Source organism: Homo sapiens, chromosome 17, assembly GCF_000001405.40.
Source record: "Homo sapiens chromosome 17, GRCh38.p14 Primary Assembly".
Lineage (NCBI taxonomy): Eukaryota > Metazoa > Chordata > Mammalia > Primates > Hominidae > Homo > Homo sapiens.
This window is the reverse complement of record NC_000017.11, coordinates 46,737,649-46,754,298: the sequence shown is the minus strand read 5'-3', so window position 1 is coordinate 46,754,298 and position 16,650 is coordinate 46,737,649. Positions and strand designations below refer to the sequence as shown.

Genomic DNA, 16,650 nt, shown 5'->3' with positions numbered 1-16,650 from the left:
AGAAGTTTCAAATGTATCAAAGGTAAGAGGTCAGACTACAAAGGACTAAGAAAAAGTGTGAATAGCTAACAAAAGAAACATTTTTCCTTTTTGGGAATAGAATTACATATGAATCAATTGTCAAGTTCTTAAAAAAAAAAAAAAAAAAAGAACTGGCTGGAGCGCAGTTGTAGTTGGTACTTGCAGTTCTTTGCCCATTAAATATATTTAATATGTGTGAGCAACAACTTACTGACTTGCCTGTAGCTATGGAATTAAAAGTCAGGAGAAAGGGAGGAAAAAAGTAATCTAGATAAATGACTTTATTCCCTCAGGTGACATCCAGTCAGAGCAGATCCTCAGCTCTGTGCAAGTTTTAACAGAATAGCATGTAGTGAACAGAGAGGTACCACGACTTATATTCTGCAAAACTACATGCCTCTTCACTTAGGTTCAGCCTCTCTAAGGCAGATCTAAAGAGAATTCACTCAGCTGCACGAAATCCATTTGACATGAAGGGGTTCAAACTCAGAGGCCTATGAAATGTCAGTCGCTGAAGATCAGGCCTGAGTGCCCCACTCTCACTCTCTATCCCACATGCATAAGAAGCATTAACTTGATCACTGACCTGCAGGCATCAAAGGAAGGGAAAGGGATGAGGGTTGGGGAAAAAATCCACATAGTTTCTTCTATGCAATTATTGAAAAAAAATTATACTGAAACTTAAAAAAAAAGAAGCTGACAATCTGACAGATTTATCTTTTTTTCAAGGAAAGAGCCAATACACCTGTATTTGCACTTTTACCAAGAATAAGTCTAAACAAAGTGGTTAGTCTGTGACTTTAATTTATGGCTCATAATGGAAAATAAATTAATTGACTTAAAAATAGTCCATCTGAAAGCTCAGTAGATTAAATTAGATTTCTGAAAGTCAAAAAAATTTTATTTTCAGATAAATTTACCAGAAAAGATTAAAAAGCATTCACTTCACGTTTCCAATTTGTTATTGGTCCAAGAGCCTATTTCAGATGTAACTGTGAAACAGAAACTTCACCTCTGCCGCTCACTGCCCACACTAGCAGAATGCAGGACCATCAGTAAGTAACACATGATGCCTAGAATACAGCCACTCTGTCCACCTAGATGGACCTAGTAACACCTAGTAACACATGATGCCTAGAATACAGCCACTCTGTCCATTTACCTAACTGTAAAATGAATTTACAGTTATTCATCCAACAGAAGTTTACTGGCCGGGCGCAGTGGCTCACACCTGTAATCCCAACATTTTGGGAGGCCGAGGCGGGCAGATCACCTGAGGTCAGTAGATCGAGACCGGCTTGGCCAACATGGTGAAACCCCATCTCTACTAAAAATACAAAAAATTAGCCAGGCATGGTGGGTGGGCGCCTGTAATCCCAGCTACTCAGGAGGCCGAGGCAGGAGAATCCCTTGAACCCGGGAGGTGGAAGCTGCAGTGAGCCGAGATCATGCCACTACTCAAGCCTGGGCAACAGAGCGAGACTCCGTCTCAAAAGAAAAAAAAAGAAAAAAAGTTACCGAGGGCCAGGCATAGTGGTGCATGCCTGTAATCCCAGCACTCTGGGAGGCTGAGGCAGACGGATTACTTGAGCTCGGGAGTTCAAGACCAGCCTGGGCAACATAGTGAAACCATGTTTCTACAAAAAATACAAAAATTAGTTGAGTGTGGTAGCACACGCTGGTAGTCCCAGCTACTTGGGAGGCTGAGACGGGAGGAACGCCTGAGCCTGCGAGGTCAAAACTGCAGTAAGCCATGATCATGGCACTGCATTCCGGCCTGGGAGACAGAGCGAGACCCTGTCTCAAAATAATAATAATAATAATAAAAGTTTACTGAGCACCTTCATATGTGTTGGCTCTGTTCCAGGGGCTGTGGACTCAATAGTAAGAGCCAAGGTCTCTGAACTCATAGGGCTTGATAGGGAGGTATTTATCAGCTACCTAGTATGTCAGATAAGGACAAGAAGACACAGCATGGGCACATGGAAGGGTGGAGTTCTAAAATGAAGAAAGGTAAGTTGCCAGGAGATATGAGAAAGTCCCAAAGAAGTTTCATCTGTCTTTGCCCAGGCAGCACCCTGGGGCTCAGTTTTCTATGTGATTCTGGATGCTTCAACCCTACAGTAGTTTGCATGAAATTTCTAGGAGCCCAGCCAGGGACAAATATACAGATCCCAAGTCTAGACTGCACAACTTAATTAACTTGTCCCTTAAAGCAGTCTCCCAGACACCGTTTGGTATATGTGCAGTCGCTTACTGACTTGAGGTGCAACACCATCCCTTCTCCATCAATAACCTGGTGATGTGATCTTGGATAATTCACTGACAGCCTGTGGCTCACATAGTATCCTTATCTCCAAAATGAGGGGGCAGAAGAACGACTGCTCTTTGAAGTCTTTTCTAGTTCTAAGACCTAGTGGCTCCCTAAATGAAAACTAACTTTATAATCTTTCCTTCCATTTTTGAATTTTAAGAAGTTAAAAAGTATTGTTAAGTGATCAATCTCAGAAGCAGGCTACTAATACCAAATTAAGTTTGGAAATAATATAAGAAAATCAAAACTTAAATTAATTAAAACCTTGGCAAAGGAAATACTGAACCCTCTTGGTGTGTCCTGAAGCTTTGTTCTGTCTGAGTCATACGGAGAACGAAGTACCTTACCTGTAGGGACATCTCGATCAGCATTAGTAACTTCTTGATTCCTATCCAGACCTTCTTCCCTTTGACTTGCTGTGCAATTGTGGTGCGTTCCTTATCCTTGAAGTTGCCCAAAAGCTACAAAAACAATAAACAATAATCAAAGCACTTTTACAGTGAACACATCAACATTGGTTAATTCTATTTACCTTTAAAAGAAGAGTGATAAGAACTACCTAACTGTTCAAGTTGATAGAATTCTCTCCTACTTTAAAATCCAGTCTGACCTTCACCATCCTAAACCCATTAGGTGCAATCATGAAAGTGAAAACTGGTATCTTAAACCCTGTTTTCTTATGGACCGCTATGTAACTTATATTTTCTGGGGAAAAAAATAGCTCCAATCCATAATAAATATAAGTTAAAATTTTTAACATTCTTTTCTAGGAACAATCTGTATGTGTCAAAGCAAACTCCTTTAATTCTCTTACCCAGCTTCTGCACAAAAGCTGTCTACATGGGTAACCTGAAAACATTTATCATATAGATAAATTTCAATTTTGTTGGGGGCCTTGAGGACTTTAAGAAGCTTTACTGACTCCACCACTGCTGAACAACTCAGTAGATAATATTTTCCAATAGAGCTCACCAAGTTACTTGTGAATATTGATATTAAAAGTTAAATGAAGAACGTTCTTTTTTAAAAATGACTGTCATTTTCAAAAAATTAAGAAAACATTTCTATTTCTAAACTTGTTAATAAAGTTCCTTTTACTTCTGTAGCTTTTTTTTTTTTGACATTTCTAAGGCTTTAATCATTGTTCCAACTTATTAAATGCAAGGAAATGTGCTAAAAGCCACTATGAATGGTTAATTTTTCTATACAGTGATTACCTTACCCCCACACCACCACCCATTCAAGTTTCTGGTCCAAGTAATCTATATACATCACTCATGCTGGATACAGAGCAATTAATTCCTGGCAGTTTGTAGCTGCCTACATTGAGGAATGGGAAATTAACTCACTGTCATGTATATTCATCTTTCTTCTCTAATTCCTGAAAACAACTGGAGGTACAGGTTGAGTATCCCTAATCCAAAAGTCTGAAATCTAAAATGCTCCAAAATTGGAAACTTTCTGAGTGCCAACATGACATTCAAAGGAAATGCTCACTGAAGCATTTCAGATTTCCAGATTAGAGACGCTCAACCTAAATATAATGCAATATTCCAAAATCTGAAAAAATCTGAAATCTGAAACACTTCTGGTCCTAGGCATTTTTTGTTGTTGTTAGAGTTTTGCTCCCTCACCCAGACTGGAGTGCAGTGGCACAATCTTGGCTCACTGCAACCTCCGCCTCCTGGGTTCAAGAGATTCTCCTGCTTCAGCCTCCTGAGTAGCTGGAACTACAGGTGCCCACCACCATGCCCAGCTAATTTTTGTATTTTTAGTAGAGACAGGGTTTCACCATGTTGGCCAGGCTGGTCTCGAACTCCTGACCTCAAGTGATCCACCTGCCCCGTCCTCCCAAAGTGCTGGGATTACAGGCATAAGCCACCGTGCCTGGCCTAGTCCCAGGCATTTTGGATAAGGTATATACAACCTGTAATATCCCCGGGTCCCATGTTCCAGATTAGCATAAAAACCAAACACCAGGTATAATGTGGTACTACTTATTTCAGCCTCAATTCCTTTCTTATAAACAGTGTGCAATCCATTGACTCATTTTTACCTCCAAAGCTTCCAACAGCTGCTCTCCTGTGGCAATGTTGGGCACGTGGATGGTGGTGCTGAAAGCGTTAAGCATTTCCATCTCCTGAAGGACATCTTTGCGGCTAGTGGTCCCAATGATAAGAAGCTTGCGGCCCTGATCATAGGGAGAAAATGTGTTAAAATGTACATAATAAGACTAATTAGGAAACTACAGTAAGCTTGAACACAATTTGCAAAAGACTTTTATTTAATCTTGCCGATGCAAATGATTAGGCAAAACAGAAGAAAACAATTCAGGATTTTCCTGAAAATCCTGAAAAAAGGTACCAACCACATGATTCAGAAAGTGGCAACATGTGAACAGCTCCTTCTCATTCACATCAATAAAACAATGGATTAGTAAATCAAGAAGATACACAAACAAATGGAAAGATACTGACGTGTATGTATGTAATTCCTTCCTCAGAGCCAACATGGCACATGTATGGTGGGAATTGGGGAAAAAAGATGAAATGAATAGAAAGTATGTGGCGCTGGCTTTACAAGGCTTTAGTACACTTTTTAGAAGGAGCAGGGTAATAAGAGTTTATATTTATGCAACACTGAACTGTAAAAGGCATGGGCTAAAGTGCTTTCCATAATTGTCACATTTAATATTTTTCATTTTTACTTTTAACCCCAAAATATTTTTTTAAAAAAAGTTTAAAAACTATGCCAGGCTTATGCTACCATTCTCAGTTCCCTTTCTTCAAAGGCAACCATTTTCAATTCTCTTGGCTTTTCTTCTTATATTTACTTCCTTATCTTCAAATAATAATGTTACATTACTGGTTTTAGATTTTTGTTTTCAGCTTTAAATATGATTTACTAACTTCCTACCATGGAAGATGGGGATTTATTATTAATTTTGCACTACCCCCCTTCCCCCACCACATGCCCCTTTTTACATCCTTCCGATACAGTTATTTCACAGTCTTTAGTTAAATCTATATTCAGTATTTATTATGTTTATACAAATGTGGTTTACAGCTAGGCCATGCAGAGTACTATTCAATTTCCTTTCTTGGACAACATTTTGTTTTACTGGAGTTAATTGCCTTTTTCCCCTTTGCTTAGTTTACCAGGTACTTATCACAAGTTTGTCTCTAAAACAATCACAAGTCTCCTTTCAGTATGTTCAAACACATTACATAGTTTAAAGTTGTGTTCTTGAAGAAATTCCCCTCCAGGAGTCCTGTGTGTTCACAGTTCAATCTGAAGCGGTGACTCTCTAGGCCTGGGGCACAGCTGTAGTTCTGGAGCTTTCCTCTCTCTTCTGTTAGATTCCCTGTATCCCAGCCTTCCTTTTCCTCATCTATTCCCCTGTCTATGCTGCATGTACCCAAAAGCTTCCTCAGAAAGAGTGAGGGAGGTAAAATTTTAAAGACCTTGCATGTCTGGAAATACCTTTATTCTAGCCTTACTATTGTATCCTTTGTCTTAATAGTTTGGCTAGTTGTAAAAAATAAGGTTAGAGGCCAGGTGTGGTGGCTCATGCCTATAATTCCAGTGCTGTGGGAGGCCGAGGCAGGTGGATCACCTGAGGTTCAGGAGTTTGAGACCAGCCTGACCAACATGGCGAAACCCCATCTCTACTAAAAATACAAAATTAGCTGGGCATGGTGACACGTGCCTGTAATCCCAGCTACTTGGGAGGTTGAGGTAGGAGAATGCTTGAACCCAAGAGTCAGAAGTTGCAGTGAGCCGAGCCAAGATCACGCCATTGCACTCCAGCCTGGGCAACAAGAGCGAAACTCCATCTCAAAAAAATAAATAAATAAATAAAAAGGTTAGAAATAATTTTTTTCTCACAATTTTGAAGGCACTGAAGGCTAAAAGACAAATGCTATCTGATCTTTGATCTTTTGTTTCTAACCTTTTTAATACAAAACTTTCAGAATCTTTTCTTCATTCCTATGTTCTGCAATTTGAAAACTACATATCCTAAGATGGTTCTTTCTATACTCATTTTGCTGGCACTAGATTCCTTCTTTCTAAACTGGAAATTCCAATCATTCAGTTCTAGGAAATACATTTCCTTGAGATTTCCTCCCATTCATTTTCTCTGTATCACCCACTGGGAACCTCTTAGTTGGATACTGATTCTCTAGGACTAATCTTCTAATTTTCTTATTTACTCTTAGTTTTTATTTCTTTCTCTTTCTAATACTTTTCAGGTTAGTATCAATTTTATCTTCCAACCTTTACACTAACTTATTTTTCAGTTCTAAGAGCTCTTCTTGTTTTCTGAATGTTTTCTTTTTTAATTGCATCCTGTGCAATTAAAATACAATATCTTGTTTTAGATCTCTGAGGCCGGTGGCTCACACCTGTAATCCCAGCACTTTGGGAGGCTGAGATGGACAGATCACTTGAGCCCAGGAGTTTGAGACTTGTCTAGGTAACATGGCGAAACCTCATCTCAACAAAAATACCAAAATTAGCCGGGTGTGGTGGCAAATGCCTGTCGTCCCAGGTACCTGGGAGCCTGAGGTGAGCAGATCGCTTGAGCCAAGGAGTTTGAGGCTGGAGTGAGCCGAGATGGCACCACTGCACTCCTGCCTGGGTGACAAAGTGAGACTCTGTCTCAAAAAACAAACTTGTGAATATTATAGATTGCAAAAATGATGTTTTCTTCTGTTCCTTGTTTTGTCTGTTTCCTATGACTTGCCCCTTTTTCCAATTTGTTTTCTGGAGGCTTTCCTCAAGTGTCTGGTGATTGCTGGATAGCTAATTCACATTTAAGAGCTAAACTATGAATGGAAATACTGTGTCGGGGGGCTTCACTATAGGATGATCAGGTAAGACCTGGCTGATTACTGGGGGTCCTTCAAAGGTCAGTATGTGTACATTTTTCCCAGAGAAGAATCTTCCAGTCTCCTTCCCAAAGACTATAAAGCCTCGTTGCCAGCATACTGGAGTCAACAGGGTAATGTTTCTGGGTATCTCGCCATTTAATAGGGACACCTCCACTTAATCCTCTTTGTAGTATGGCACCTCTCCAGATCAGTCTCTCAATTAATTTTCATTATAATCATGAAAATTCAGTACTACTACTATCCCCATTTTACTGATGAAGCTATTGAATCTCACAGATATAAGTCATTTGTGTTCAAGGCAAGTCATTTGTGTTCAAGGCCAAATAACCAATACATGATGGAGCCAAGACTGGAAACCAGATCCAGACCTAAATCATATACTGCCTGTCTTTACAAAGAAAAACACATTACTAAAAAAGTTTACTTGGAAAATGAAAAAGGAATAAGTTTTAAACTTATGTCACTAGATTTATAATACACACTCAGTCCATAGATAAGTCTTCAGTAAAGACTAATCATTGAACCTATACACAGATCTTGGAAATTCAGAACATTAAAATAAATGGGCTATCGGGAAAAGATTTTAAGAAACCAAAATAATTTCAATTTGGGTTTGGTAAACATTATACCACTACTGTCAATAAGACACATTAGCCTTTCTCAATGTTACTCATTGTTTTTATCCACCTGCTGTGCCAAGAATGGGCAAGGTACCACCATAAACCAATGCAGATCAAAGAAACAAAGTTGAGACCCTCTGGTACAATTAGCCATTAGCTTAACAGATGACTGCGCATAGAATATGAGATAGAAGTACACCTGTGAGCATTCAGATTAAAGGGTAATCATTATTATTATTTGAGGAATCAACTAGGAAAAAATCAAATGCTTATCATCAGACATTTACCAAGTTCCTAGATGAATATGCAACAGACCTTCCACAGAAAGACAGATGCAAAATAGATAATTATAGTACAATATGGAAAGGTGGAGGTATTACGCACAAGGATGTCAGGTAGAGGGAAGAAACACGTGGCAGAGAAAGCTTTTTCTGGAGGAGATGATACATGAGTTGAGTCGTAAGGAATGAGTAGGTTGATTAGGAAGATGAAGGGGAAGGACATTCTAAGCCAGAGGAACAGAAATACCTAAGTCCAAGGGCAAAATAACAACAAAAGCTGGGTGTTGAGGTAATTACAATCGAGTAAAGACATACATTTTTACTATAACAAAAAGTGGTGCTGTTATATTTAAAGTATTTTTTAACACTAAATTCTAATGGCAAACTTGGGAACATAGCCCTAAAGGCTAACAGATGCCAAAGGCCACACATGCTGATACATCCTCAGTATGATTAAAGGTAACTGTTACTTCTCTTTTTTAGCTTTTTAATGTTCCATAGTCCATAATGCAAACTTCCTCATCTTGCTCCTCTCTCACAAAGGACAATGTTGGCCCTAGAACAGTGGCACTGAGGAAGAAGCTTCTTACTCATTCCAGAAAGCCGGACTTTTAAAATCGCTGCCAGTTTCCTCATGAGATGTTCTCTTACATTAACAGTGACTATGCTCTTCAAAGTGTTGAAAGATTGGGAAATGTAGAGCAACCATACTGGAGACGCTAATTTATGTTTTGCTTTCCTTCTTGTTTAACAAGACTCCAAAAACTGCAAAGAGGTCATGACCCAGGCAAGTTTGGGTCTTGACTTGTAAAGCGTCATCTTTAAGAAAACATTGAAAAACATTACCAAATTATTAAATTGTGCTGGGCCATTTTGTGTATTAATTAGTGGTAGTGCTCATAAGGAAGCTTTATCATGAAAAACAGCTCCGAATATATTAAAGTGATACATTGCATGGGATTCGTCTGAAGGGAAACACTGCCAGCAGCATGAAATGGGGATGCAGCTTTAAAAACAAAAGTGGTGCTCAACCCAAGAGGGGACCTCCACCTTCCTAATGTGTGGCCACCAGTCTTAATGTCCACAGTGCCCAAACATGCCCCTTGACGGAAAGCAAAAAAAAAAGCACAGAGTGATAACCTATTTGGGAAAAAAGAAATTGCTCCCAGCATACTCTTTACTGAGATTTGCTAGTCCTGATGCTATAAAGAAAAAGCCTAAGTAAAATGACTATCTGCCAATCGGATTATGATAAACATTGTTCCAAGGTTAAATAAGTATTAGTTAACTAATTCTTAGTACCATAAGCAGCAACTCAGGTGAAAACATTTCCATGAAAAAGGCAGGGCTCAGTCAGGTGTTGATCCTTCAAAAAAAACACTTCTTTACATGATGAAGAATGAGCGAGTACTAAGCAGCATCTAAGCCTTTTGCCACACAAAGGACCAACCAGATAATCCACACCCTTTCATAGGTCTTGCCCATTGATTGGACCCAATAAACTGATTTGTAACAAAAGTTCAAGTGGAAGAAAGCTTTTTTTTTTCCCTAAATAAAAATGCCACTAATATAATACTGCAGTGAAATGGAAGGGCTGATTTCAACCTATGAACAAAAGTAAAGTCAGTTATGCAGGAAAGAAAGGCCATTCTTTCCATATCATTCAATGCTGAGCAAGTGTAATACACCCTTGGTAAGAAGAATTAACTGTGAACAATTGAAAACCCTGAAATGGATTAAGAAGTGAGTTTAAAAGTGCAACTCAAAACTGCTATGTGCTGGGGGCATTAAACTTTATTTTCTGCTTAGTAGAATCTGATGTTTTTGTAAATGAGAGTGAAATATTTCAGAATATTAAGCATTTGTAAATCTGGTAAGTAAAATATGAAATAGACATTAGCCAATTGGAGCATTAACAATAATTTACTCCTTTTAGGTACTTAATAGAATTATGAGATTTGGTTTGTGCCTTCAAATAAGTTACAACTTAGCTGGGAAAACCAAATAAATATTCAGGGAACACAACCAAGTAACACACTCGCAAATACAAACTAATCATGGCGGAGGGCACCCGGTTTATGGGGACAGTTTCCTGGAGGGGGGTTATCTAGGAAGGTTATCCGTAGTACTGCAAAGACAATGACAACAAGTAGGCACTGGCAAGGCCCTTGAAAAGAAGGGACAGGTCCTGAATGCGCCTAAATCCTATGTGTGTGGTAGAAGCAGCTGAGACAGAGCACCAAGGCTGAAAACGAAGTTGTCTGCAGACACAGGGAGGGAACAATCAGCAAAAGGCAGACTCGGGATGCTAAACTAAGGGAAATATTTAATATAAAAAGCAACAGGAAACCAGAGAAGGCTCTTGAGGAGGAAGACCTGTGATGGAGAAGAGGGTTCTGGCAGCCACAGGCAGGAGGTCTACCTCTTAGGGGCCTGTGAGGAGCTGCTGCCCCAAGGACAGGCCAGTTGTAAGAGTGAGCATCTCCAGGGACCATGCTGCACCTTTTAACCAGTGTCTTATGCATATGATGTCCTTTTTAAGGCAAGCCCAGGGCTGGCAGAAAGCAATGGTGAGGCAAGTCCCCTGATGGACAGGTAGCTTGGTGCAACAGAAGTAGAGGCCCCATCACTCACAGCTGTGTGATTTGGGGTAGATTATTTAACTTCTCAGCATCTATCTCCTCCTCAACCATAAATATGCGATGAGAAAATTCTACCTACTTATGAGAATAGAGTGTGAGGTGGAGATTCCTGAGGCGGGGTCTCTGTCATCACAGTCAGAACAGGCAAGAAGGAAAAGAAGCAAGCATCTGAACAGGTGGGCTTCAGAGGAACCTGAAGAATAGTCCTCTGCCTGTGGTGTCAGGAATCCATACGGTTAGGTCAGGTGGGTGAGGGACGGGATGCCTGAAAATCCCTCTCTTCCCAAAAACAAACACAGGGCACTGGCAGCAAATGACGCAGAGAGGCCAAGGTTGGCTCTGGGTTAGGGAAGATGAGAGCTCCCATCTTCAGCTTCACAAGGGTTACTGTGAGGCCCAGAAGAGGCCTGAAGCAAGAGGTCAGACACCCCCTCCGAAGGAGTCATGGCAGTGGGGTGACTCACAGAGAGTCAGAAGGACTCATGGCAGCGTGGGGCCTCAGGGAGAGGCAGCAACTTCTGAGGAGGAAATTGGCTCAGAGCCAAGAGTAAGAAGCTTTCCTGGTAGAGGTCCTTTGGTCTATCACTTAACCTGGCTTCATTCTTGAAATAGGAATAATTTTTCATATTTTCTTAGCTTGTATTATTCAACAGAGACCCTTAGAAAAATTCTACCTTGCCATAGTGCTTCTCTGCATTTATCTTCAAGCCTGAATCTTGTTTCTAGCCTGTCAACTCCCCGATGGTAGAAACCACGTATCATCCATCTGCGCCCTTGCAGTACTCAGCATGGCATGCCTGGCACACAGAGAGGATTCCTCTGCCTGGAATGCTCTTCCCTTCCATAGCCACACAGGCCTTTCCCTCCAAGTCAAGGACCTGCCTGAATGTCAGCTTTTCCACAGGCCAACTCAATCCCCACATACCTCCATTTAAAACTGCAACTCCCCAACCCTTATCCTGCCCTTTCCCTCCTCCAGTTTGGATCGCCTTTTACATACTATATACTTACTATATTTACTGTATTTCTTGCTAGTTCTCCTTCATCAGGACAGGACTTAAGTCGGTTTGGCTTTACTGATGTTTCCAGGGCTAGCATACTGCCTTGTACAAAGTACAAAGTTAATAAATATGCACTGAATGAATGATAATCCCAGTATAGCTTTCAAGGGTAGCAGATCACTCCTTCATTATTACTTTCTGGTCCTAGAAAAATGCACATTATATTAAGTGTCCAAAAGGAAAGTAACTATCATTTCAGAGTCTACACCTCTGAGCCCCAAGTGTTGATAGCAACAAATTTTAAAGAAAATAATCTAGAATGAACGGCATGTATGCTTCGTGCCAAAGTCTGGCTTATCTCTTTTAATCAATTGATTAGCTATTGACTGGATAACACAGACTTCTCTAGCAGAGGAAAGATAAGATTCATTAGCTGTCATTAACCTAAGCTAGTGAGATAACAAGTACTATTGGCCAGTGCAGTGGCTCACACCTATAATCTCAACACTTTGGGAGGCCGAGGCGGGTGGATCACGAGGTCAGGAGTTGGAGACTAGCCTGACCAACACGGTGAAATGCTGTCTCTACTAAATTAGCCAGGCGTGGTGGCACATGCCTGTAATCCCAGCTACTAAGGAGGCTGAGGCAGGAGAACGCTTGAACCTGGGAGGCGGAGGTTGCAGTGAGCCGAGATGGCGCCACTGCACTCCAGCCTGGGCAACAAGAGCAAAACATCTCAAAACAACAACAACAAAAACAAAAACCAAGTACTATTAACATCTCCTACAACTCTTGGTTTCCCCAAACCAAGGGAAAAGATCGACTACCATTAAAAGCAACCAGAGACAAGTGAAGGGAGAGGAATTGGGCCTCTTTGCATGCATTTCTGATTTCTCTTGTTTAAATGCCTGTAACTTTTTCTTTTCTTTTTTTTTTGCAGTTAAATGTTTAAGCTGAATACCAAAGGAAGGATGTTTCAAATAAATCATGCCACAACTAGGCAGGCAACTACACTTAAACTCTCCATTAGATTTTACCCTGAAGCAAATTCTTAGTCTACTTCTTTGTAACCATCCTCATGGTGCTGCAAGCAGGACAGAAGACAATAAGGGGGGGAATTCATGATACAGACTGAATATGAAACGAGAAACTGAACCCTTAATAATTTAAAATACTATAGGCAAAAGCAGACTTCATGATATTAAAGGATATCTAATTCCAATTTGTGAAAAAGACACTGAATCATCAGATTTTACATTGGGAGCAGCTCTTAAAGATTACCTCATTCCCCCAAACCCCCTCATTCTCTGTCTCATTTTGCAGATGAGAAACCTGGGGTGAGAGGTAAAGTGATCTGTCTGAGGCTCTCATGTCCAGTGAGGGAGCTGAAACTACAGTTCAGGCCTCATTGCTATTTTCACTATGCTTTGCTGTCTACTGTTTTTATTTGTGTAATTTTAAACTAGATTTGGGGTCCACTCTTGCCCCTGCCCCCACAAGCCCCATATCAGCAATGGCTGATCTCTTAATTTGAGTTAGGGAGATTTATTACCTAGAAATAATGACCTCTGTGCTCTTAGGAGAAAAGGTTAAATAAATTAAGAAGATATTGAGACGGGCAGATCACCAACGGTCAGGATTTCAAGACCAGCCTGGCCAACATGGTAAAACCCCATCTCTACTAAAAATACAAAAATTAGCTGGACGTGGTGGTGCATGCCTGTAATCCCAGCTACTTGTGGGGCTGAGGTAGGAGAATCACTTGAACCCAGGAGGCGGAGGTTGCAGTGAGCCGAAATCGTGCCATTGTACTCCAGCCCAGGCAACAAGAGCAAAACTTGGTGTCCAAAAAAAAAAAAAAAGAAAAAGATAAAGTTGTACTGACCATGCCATAGTATTCTTAATACCTTAAAGGAAGGGTTCTGTGCATGCTCTCTCATTAGAAACTTAACTAAGATGACCACACATTAATCAGCAAATCCAAACTCCCCACTCTTATATCCACAGTAGATTTTCCCTACCTATCTCAGCTTTTAGCTTGATATACCCTAAATTGACCCCTGTGTTCTAATCAGGTCAATATTCTCCTTTCTAATTTAATTTTTACCTCTGTGATTTTTATCCATAGCATTTGTTTATTAAAATGCTTTCTCCAGTTTTCTGCCAATTTGCAATTGTCTCTTATGTTCACAATGTTTCAAAATTTGCCTTCTCACCATACCCTGCCCTCATTTAACCCTACAGAGCCCACATTGCTCCTTTAGGCCCCAAACTTCCAGAACATGAATTTACTATATCCAATAATAATGCCTTACTTATCTGGAGGCCAATCTGCTAAACAATTTCAACTATCCAGAGCACAGCCAAGAACCAGAAATAAGCAAAAATCCTCTCACTCCTAGTACTGAAAAAACAATGTGAGGTTCAAGTAACTTTAAAACTGACAGGCAAGGACAACTTACCCACTAGACACAGTGCCCAGGGCCTATGAAACTTTGAGGAACCCATGAAAGTATTATTCTAATTTCTTTTAAAATCAGGCCAGGCCTGTAATCCCAGCACTTTGGGAGGCTGAGGAGGGCGGATCACTTGAGGCCAGGAGTTTGAGACCAGTCTGGCCAATATGGTGAAACCTCATCTCTGCTAAAAATACAAAAAATTATCTGGGTGTGGTGGTGTGCGCCTGTAGTCCCAGCTACTTGGGAGGCTGAGGCATGAGAATTGCTTGAACCCGGGAGGCAGAGGTTGCAGTGAGTTGAGATCGCGCCACTGCACTCCTGGAAAAAAAAAAATCAGAAAAAAAGAACTTTTTGGTGGAAGAAAATATTAATATAGTAATATATTCAGCTTTGTACCAACAGGTGGAAAATTTATTTTTTTTTTTAGTAGAGGAAGGGGCCCACAGGAGTCAAAATGGGGCCTTGCTCTCTGGAAGGCCTCTCCAGCTCTCACTGCAGCCCAGTTTTATGTTTTTGTGTTTTTTTCGAGACAAGGTCTCACTCTGGTTGCCCAGGCTGGAGTGCAGTTGCATGATCTCCACTCACTGCAGCCTCGACCTCCTGGGCTCAGGTGATTCTCCCACTTCAGCCTCCCGAGTAGCTGGAATTACAGGTGTGCACCACCATGCTTGGCTTTTTTTTTTTTTTTTTTTTTTGAGACAGAGTCTCGCTCTGTTGCCCAGGCTGGAGTGCAGTGGCGCGATCTCGGCTCGCTGCAACCTCCACCTCCTGGGTTCAAGCGATTCTCCTGCCTCAGCCTCCTGAGTAGCTGGGACTACAGACGCCTGTCACCATGCCTGGCTAATTTTTGTATTTTTAGTAGAGGCGGGGGTTTCACCATACTGGCCAGGCTGGTCTCGAACTCCTGACCTTGAATGATCCACCTACCTTGGCCTCCCAAAGTGCTGGGATTACGGGTGTGAGCCACCGTGCCTGGACTTTTTTGTATTTTTAGTAGAGATGGGGTTTTGCCATATTGCCCAGGCTGGTCTAGAAGTCCTGGACTCAAGCGATCCTCCTGCCTTGGCCTCCCAAAGTGCTGGGATTACGGGTGTGAGCCACCGTGCCTGGACTTTTTTGTATTTTTAGTAGAGATGGGGTTTTGCCATATTGCCCAGGCTGGTCTAGAAGTCCTGGACTCAAGTGATCCTCCTGCCTTGGCCTCCCAAAGTGCTGGGATTATAGGCGTAAGCCACTGCGCCCAACCACAGTTTAGTTCTCTTACTGTATGAACAGCTCATGAATCCTGGTGGTTGCCTGCCTTAATTTATAGCAGATGAAAGCAGCACACTGGAAAAAGGAGTCATCAGAGGCAGGCCAGCTGACACAACTCACTTGGATTCTGCAAGTAACAGCTGATAGCAAAACCACTAAAAAAAGAAAAGGTACAAAAAACTCAACAAACAGGGCACACCGTATCTACCTAACAGGCACCAGGACGGAATCCTGTATATTCCAACAGTTCCTGCTGAGTCCCACCCATGAAAATACTGACCCATCAATTATGGTTTGTTATGATGGTCCTTATTCATTAACATAGAGTTTATTATACTTTGCTTCAGACACTAAGAATGTATGTAGCAATTTTTTTCCTCTTAAAAAAGGCTAAAGTATAATAATTGATATTTAAAGAGGTTAAGCTTCAGTCATTTAGAAAAAATGAAGCCTATAATTTCTTATGAATTTCTATTCTTCCCTCCAGTGAAACTATGCCATATGAAGCCTAAGATAAGTACACAGAACATATCCTCAAATTCTCAAGTATCATATTGTACGTTAATTAAAAAAATTTAGGCTGGGTGTAATGGCTCACACCTGTAATCCCAGCACTCTGGGAAGCTGAGGTGGGTGGACTGCTTGAGCCCAGGAGTTTGAGACCAGCCTGGGTAACATGGCAAAACCCTGTCTATACAAAAAATATAAAGATTAGTCAGGTGTGGTGGTGTGCACCTGTTGTCCCAGCTACTCCAGGGGCTGAGGCGGGAGGATCAATTGAGCCCAGGAGGTAAAGGCTGCAGTGATTGAGACTGCGTCACTGCACTCCACCCTGGGCAACACAGCAAGATCCTATCTCTAATAATAATAATAATAATAATAATAATAATAATAATAATAATATGCTAATTTTAGCATACATAAATCCTTCACCTTCTCTCTCCATTGCTGCAGCGCTTGAATTCCTTAGCATGGCACAATGGCCCTGACTAAATCTCCCTTTTACTCATCTTTCAAGACCAGGATCCGAAACTACTATTTGTGAATGATTTGCACATCTTCTCAGGTAAAATGGACCACACTTTCCTTTATGTTCCACTGGAACCACGTAACATATAAAACCTAACTCTATGCATCATGTTTTCACATCTTTCTCCCACCCT

General features: G+C 40.9%; 2 protein-coding genes across 3 annotated transcripts in view, besides 1 other annotated feature; both read right to left on the bottom strand.

Annotated features, from left to right (window-relative positions):
* The window catches only part of LRRC37A2 (leucine rich repeat containing 37 member A2), a 676,337-nt gene that overhangs the window by 294,830 nt on the left and 364,857 nt on the right, over positions 1–16,650 (bottom strand). The gene's annotated exons all lie outside the window — the stretch shown is intronic.
* NSF (N-ethylmaleimide sensitive factor, vesicle fusing ATPase) overlaps positions 1–16,650 on the bottom strand; it is a 166,796-nt gene that overhangs the window by 3,166 nt on the left and 146,980 nt on the right. For both annotated transcript variants that reach the window (NR_040116.2, NM_006178.4), the window contains 2 exons: positions 4,392–4,526; positions 2,683–2,796 (listed from right to left, as the gene is read on the bottom strand). Coding sequence is in view for 1 of the 2 variants with exons in the window: in NM_006178.4 (NP_006169.2) it covers positions 2,683–2,796; positions 4,392–4,526 (249 nt within the window). In the remaining variant the exon portion in view is untranslated. The remainder of the gene's footprint in view (positions 1–2,682; positions 2,797–4,391; positions 4,527–16,650) is intronic.
* Positions 11,082–11,376: an enhancer, noted in NCBI's record as "tiled region #12503; K562 Activating DNase matched - State 5:Enh". NCBI's record gives its function as "activates a minimal TATA promoter and a strong SV40 promoter by Sharpr-MPRA in K562 cells {active_cell/tissue: K562}" and the evidence as "EXISTENCE:reporter gene assay evidence [ECO:0000049][PMID:27701403]".